We start from the raw sequence: 6653 nt of genomic DNA, 5'->3' as shown, positions 1-6653 counted from the left end.
TTGCACCAACAGATGGTATTTATTGGCTGAAGGGTACTTTGGGAGACATTAAAACACCAAAGGCAGCTGTTTGTCCTACAGCAGAAGTCCTAAAAGATTCCAGGACCCACTTTATTTACCTCTCTTTCTTCTAATCCCGAGTCTCAGCAGCCCGGATGTCTTCCTAACACTCTGCACATCATTCTTCTCTTCCGAAGCTGATGCACCTATCATATCTGTGTCCAAAGCTTGCCTTTCTTATTCCCTCACATTTATTATTCTCAAGATATTTTACATGAAGAGGTCCATTTCTAAGGACTTCGTGGAACTTGAGTCAGTGAATCATAAAATAATAAGGGCAGGATACTGTGAACCTGATACTCGATTAACCCTACTTACAACAAATGAGTTGCAGAACCAAGATACATAAAAGAGAGTGGCATTGTTCTTTTCCAACGGGGACTCCTGGCTGCTTTCGCACTGGTATAGGGGAATTCATGTAGCCTGTGTTGGAAACACTCCTCATCAGACACTGTTTTCCCTAGGACAGAAGTTAAATCCCCCCACCGAGAAGAAAACCTCAGATGGGACGTTCCCCCAGAGGGTAGGGCATGCACTAATAAAATCCTAAACTAAACCATCCCATCTGCCCCTGTGTGTCCCCCACATGTTACATTCTTTACAGTGTTAACAGGCATGGCTCACTCTTTGCAGTGTTAGAGAATTTTGTTTTATTGTTTTGGTGGCATGGGCATAATTGGAGAAACCATTGGGGTATTCACTAGTAACCTACATTGTTAGTTTCCTTGGTTCCAGCAGGTAATACACTGGGTTCCGTCACCCTGGAGATGGCTACAGGGAGGCTGAGTGACTTCCCAAAGTAATAAAGAGTTTGGAATCAGAATTCCAGGTCTGACTCCCAGCAGACTGTTCTATTTCCTTACACACCTGCACTTTCATCAATCTTCTCCAGCTCCAATTTCTTGTGCCCCTTCAACAGCATCTGCAGGCAGGATGATCTTTCCGATAAAAACCAGTTGCAGAAGTTCCTGTTGCTTCCCTTTGGTTTTTCCTCAGGGTAGGGAGAACAGAGCAGCTGCATTCACATGGCCCCATTTCCCTCTGCTTCCCCTTCCCACTTGATTATTCAGGCAAGTGGGATTGTAACATCATGGCCATCGCCATAGTAACGGAGCTTGAAAGATGCTACACTGCCCTGGAACAGACGTCTTGCTGGGTACCAGGAGAGAGCCAGGGATGCCAAGCCAAGGGGAAAGTCCTGGTTTGGTGGCACACAGGGGCAAATGTCCTGAATCTACGGCGGGGCAGGGGGAAGGGGACATGTTAATACTGGCTGACAGCGAGGTGGCTACAAAGCTCCTCCATTTCTCCTGGGGCTTGCATGGTAATCTGCCCACTAGCCACACAGATTGCTTTCTCTGTAATGCCATTGGCGCCAGCCTGTTGTGCTGAGGTTGACAATAAGAGAACAGACTTGGGAGGAGGAATAGGGCAGGCAAGATTCTGGTGGCTTCTGCGTGGTCACCTGTGCCATCTCATGCCAGATTTCAGAGCAGGGAACATTTCAGAGGTGGAGAAGTGGCTCTGTCATAGAGATCACAGAAGCACAGATGGTTACGGTGCTCCATGCCACTACCCTGGTTGGTGGAAACATCCATAACATAGGTTGTCCTGTTTGCTCTGAAGGCTACCAGAGGGGATGGCAATGTCCACAGGAGCTGCTGACAGGCCTGAGACTTAAGTGAGGGAGATGACAGAATAGGAAGAGGAGAAAGACATAAAGACAGGAGACCAAGGGGTAACCACATCTGGGCCAAAGCTGACCTTTCTTTCTTTCCTTCCTTCCTTCCTTCCTCCCTCCCTCCCTTCTTTCTTTCTTTTTTTTTTTAGACAGAGTCTCACTCACTCTGTCACCCAGGTTGGAGTGCTGTGGTGCAATCTCGGCTCACTGCAACTTTCACCTCCCGAGTTCAAGCAGTTCTCCCTGCCTTAGCCTCCTGAGTAGCTGGGATTACAGGCACCCGCCACCGCGCCCGGCTAATTTTTGTATTTTTTAGTAAAGAGGGGGTTTTGCCATGTTGGCCAGGCTAGTCTTGAACTCTTGACCTCAGGTGACCCGCCTGCTTCAGCCTCCCAAAATGCTGGCACTACAGGCATGGGCCACCACACCCGGCCTCTCGTGTGCTTTTAGAAGACCGTGTCTGCTGGGCCCCATGCCTGGAATGTCTGAGGGGCAGAGCAGTGCGGAGGTTAAGAGTGCGGGCTCTGCTGGGGATAGCGGAGTGTGCCTGTAGTTGCAGCTGCTTGGGAGGCTGAGGAGGGAGGATCACTTGAGCCCAGGAGTTTGAATCTAGCCTGGACAACCTGGATTTTTATTAGAAACCTCATCTCTAATAAATTTATTTTTTTTTAGATGTGGGTTCTGAAACTGTACCAGGCCTCTGTTGGAAACTTGGCCCGCCCATGCTGGCTGGGTGACCCTGGGAAAGTTACCGCACCAAGCTCTGTGCCCAAGTTTCCTCATCTATAAAACAGGGGACCCAACAGTACCTCCCCCATCACAGGGCTGTTGTGAGGATGACAGCACGTAATCCAAGCAGGATGCTGCATGCTTTGCCTGCTGCGCATGAAGTATTTGGGACCTTAAGTCATTACAGGTATATGGTGGGGCCCAACAACTGTATTTTGAAAATACTTTGGGCCAGGTGTGGTGGCTCATGCCTGTAATCCCAGCACTCTGGGAGGCTGAGGCAGGTGGATCACTTGAGGTCAGGAGTTTGAGGCCAGCCTGGCCAACGTGGTGAAACCCCATCTCTACTAAAAATACAAAAAAAAAATTAGCTGGGCATGGTGGCACGCATCTGTTGTCCCAACTACTCGGGAGGCTGAGGCAGGAGAATCACTTGAACCCGGGAGGCGGAGGTTGCAGTGAGCCAAGATCGTGCTATTGCACTCCAGCCTGGGCAACAGAGCAAGACTCTGTCTCACAACAACAAAAAAAAAAAAAAAAAGAAAAGAAAAGAAAAAATACTTCACAGGGCTCACAGGGATTCTAATCTGCAGGCCTGGGCTATCTGGGAGGCAGTGATCTCTAGGCTCCTCCCCAGCCTGCACCATCAAGTCCTAGGTACTAGGTACTAAGTTAAAATAACCAGCAGGTGGGCTGGGCACAGGGGCTCATACCTGTAATTCCAGCACTCAGCACTTTGCGAGGCCAGGACAGGAGGATTGCTTGAGCCCAGGAGTTTGAGAACACCCTGGACAACATAATAAGTCCTCGCCTCTACTAAAAATTAAAAAAAAAAAAAAATTAGCCAGGCCTGGTGGCACACACCTGTAGTCCCAGCTACTTGGGAGGCTGAGGCGGGAGGATGGCTTGGGCCCAGGAGTTCAAGGTTGCAGTGAGCTGTGATTGTGCCAACTGCACTCCAGCCTGGGTGAAGACCCAGACCCTGTCTCAAAAAAAAAAAAAAAAAAAAAAAAGTGAGCCTGGGCACGGTGGCTCATGCCTGTAATCCCAGCACTTCGTGAGGCTGAGGCGAGCTGATCATTTGAGGTCAAGAGTTGGAGACCAGCCTGGCCAACATGGCAAAACCCTGTCTCTACTAAAAAATACAAAAATTAGCCAAGTGTGTTGGTGGGTGCCTGTAATCCCAGCTACTCGGGAGGCTGAGGCAGGAGAATCGCTTGAACCCAGGAGGTGGAGGTTGCAGCGAGCCGAGATTGTGCCACTGCACTCCAGCCTGGGTGATAGAGCGAGACCTTGTTTTAAAAAAAAAAAAAAAAGGAAGGAAGGAAGGAAGGAGGGAGGGAGGGAAACAGAGAGAGAGAGAAAGAAAAGAAAAGAAAAAAGAAAGAGAAAATAACCAACAAGTGGGAACTTCATGTATTGCCAGGTCCTTGACTTGGAGTGGAGAAGGAAGATGCATCTAGAAGGGCATCAAGTCTGAGTTAGGAAGACGTCCCCTTTTGCAGGGGAAGGAGGCACGCACTATACCACAGAACGAGAGAGGAAGATGAAGGTCAGAAGGACAAGACAGGGGCGGGACTTTGGGGTCAGAGGTGGTGGAGGGCAAGAGGCAGGATGTAAGTGCTTGAGGCCTGTTTCTCAGGAAGCCCCCGCAGGGCTGGGTCCGGGCATGCTGACCCTTGGCGTCCTTCTGGGTGTCCTCAGTGTTCGGTCCTAGTACACCTGGAAGTGTGCGGACGTGGCGCCGTCCTTCCAGCAGCGCAGGGTGTCCACGGCGACCGAGCGGCAGAGCGGGCAGGTGCGCTCACGGTCCAGCCACAGGCAGAGGCACTCCTCACAGAACACGTGCTGCGGGGACAGCAATCAGCAGGCACCAGGACTCTTTACTGAGCGTCTGCCTCGGTCTCGGGAGCAGGAGAAGGGGCAGCGGACTAGACAGACAACCCCTGCCTTCGGGGCGCCTGCACTCGCGTTGGGGAGACAATGCGACTCCAAAATACTGAGTTATCAGTAGGAAGCACCAAGATGAAACAGCAGGGGAGGGGACAGGTGTGGTGGCTCAGGACTGTAATCCCAGCACTTTGGGAGGCCGAGATGGGCGGATCACCTGAGGCAGGAGTTTGAGACCACCCTGGCCAACATGGTGAAAACCAGTCTCTACTAAAAAATACAAAAATTAGCCGGGCGTGGTGGTGGGCGCCTGTAGTCCCAGCTACTCGGGAGGCTGAGGCAAGAGAATCGTTTGAACCCGGAGGCAGAGGTTGCAGTGAGCTGAGTTTGTGCCACTGCACTCCAGCCTAGGTGACAGAGCAAGAATCTGTCTAAAAACAAAAAAACAAAAAACAAACAAACAAAAAGCAGGAGGGAGAAGGAACAGGGAGGGCTTGGGCGGGTTGGGACGTTAAGGACAACTTTACGGAGATACTGACATTTGGGTAAAACTTGCAGGACAGTGAGGAGTGAGCCCTGATGAGATCTTGGGGAAAAGCACTTCTAGCAGCAACAGCAATGTGCAAAGGCCCTGAGGCTGGACTGTGTTTGATGTGCGGGAGGAACAGGAAGGAGAGGATAGCTGGGCTGGGGTTGTTGGGGTGGATGGGAGAGGGAGATGAGGTCACAGAAGTGATGGAGGGTGAGGGGTGCATATGGTGTAGGTACTTGTGGGCCATTGTGAGGTCTTTGGCTCTTATTCTGAGAGAAGTAAGGGGCCCATGGTAGGGCTTGGAGCAGAGGAGTGACCTGATATGATTTGCAGTTTAAAGCGATCCCTCCGCCTTCTAGGTTGAGAATAGAACACAAGGGTCAAGAGGAAAGGCAGGTAACTAGTGCTACGATAAACAGATACATGCACGCATACGTTCACTGCAGCACTATTCACAATAGCAAAGACATGGAATCAACCCAAATGCTTATCAATGATAGACTGGATAGAGAAAATGTGGTACATATACACCATGGAATACTATGCAGCCATAAAAAGGAACGAGATCATGTCCTTTGCAGGGACATGGGTGGAGCTGGAAGCCATTATCCTCAGCAAACTAACACAGGAACAGAAAACCAAACACCACATGTTCTCACTCATAAATCAGAGCTGAACAATGAGAACACATGGATACAGGGAGGGGAACAACATACTGGGGCCTGTTGCGGGGGCTGGGGGAGGGAGAACATCAGGATAAATTGCTAATGCATGTGGGGCTTAATACCTAGGTGATGGGTTGATAGGTGCAGCAAACCACCATGGCACACGTTTACCTATGTAACAAACCTGTATATCCTGCACATGCATCCTGGAACTTAAAATTAAATTAAATTTTTTAAAAAAGAGAGAGGGCCAGGCGCGGTGGCTCACACCTGTAATCCCAGCAGTTTGGGAGGCTGAGGTGGGCGGATCACCCGAGGTCAGGAGTTTGAGACCAGCCTGACCAACATGGAGAAACCCCATCTCTACTAAAAATACAAAATTAGCCAGGCGTGGTGGTACATGCCTGTAATCCCAGCTACTCGGGAAGCTGAGGCAGGAGAATCACTTGAACCCTGGAGGCAGAGGTTGCGGTGAGCTGAGATCGTGCCATTGTGTTCCAGCCTGGGCAACGAGAGCAAAACTCTGCCTCAAAAAAAAAAAAGAGAGAGAGAGAGAAAGGCAGGGAGATTGGAAAGACCAATGGGTTCCACCGTTCTCTGGCTGTATAACTTGGACAAGTAATGCAACCTGTCTGTGCCTCAGTTCCCCCATCTGTAAAATGGGGATAGAACCCCCTCATTGGAAGATTAATTAACATGTTAAAAGTACTTAGCTATGACAACCAAATGCAGCACATGAGTCTTGATTGGTCCCAGGGGTGGCAAAAAAAATGCCAGCTATAAAGGGCACTTTGAAGGCAACTGGAGACATCTGAATATGTACCATATATTAAATAATATGTCACATTAATTTAAAATTTCCTGGGTGGCCAGGCACAGTGGCTTACACCTGTAATGCTAGCACTTTGGTAGGCTGAGGCGGGGGGATCACTGAGGTCAGGAGTTTCAGACCAGCCTGGCCAACATGGTGAAATCCCGTCTCTACTAAAAATACAAAAATTAGCCAGGCATGGTGGCACACGCCTATAGTCCCAGCTACTTGGAAGGCTAAGGCAGGAGAATCGTTTGAACCCAGGGGGCAGAGGTTGCAGTGAGC

At 49.9% G+C, this 6653-nt stretch overlaps 1 protein-coding gene across 4 annotated transcripts in view; it reads right to left on the bottom strand.

Moving 5' to 3' along the window:
• The window catches only part of RNFT2 (ring finger protein, transmembrane 2), a 115317-nt gene continuing 108664 nt past the window's right edge, over positions 1–6653 (bottom strand). Inside the window, exons 11-12 of one of the 4 annotated variants that reach the window (NM_001109903.2) lie at positions 4148–4318; positions 1–1294 (exon numbers count right to left, since the gene is read on the bottom strand). In NM_001109903.2, the coding sequence (NP_001103373.1) occupies positions 4184–4318 (135 nt within the window). In that variant the 3' untranslated portion in view covers positions 1–1294; positions 4148–4183. Of the gene's footprint in view, positions 4319–6653 lie in introns of all 4 variants that reach the window. The other 3 variants (NM_001382266.1, XM_047429745.1, NM_032814.4) reach the window with 3 other exon arrangements.

This window comes from Homo sapiens, chromosome 12, assembly GCF_000001405.40.
Source record: "Homo sapiens chromosome 12, GRCh38.p14 Primary Assembly".
Lineage (NCBI taxonomy): Eukaryota > Metazoa > Chordata > Mammalia > Primates > Hominidae > Homo > Homo sapiens.
This window is presented reverse-complemented; position numbering and strand designations above follow the sequence as displayed.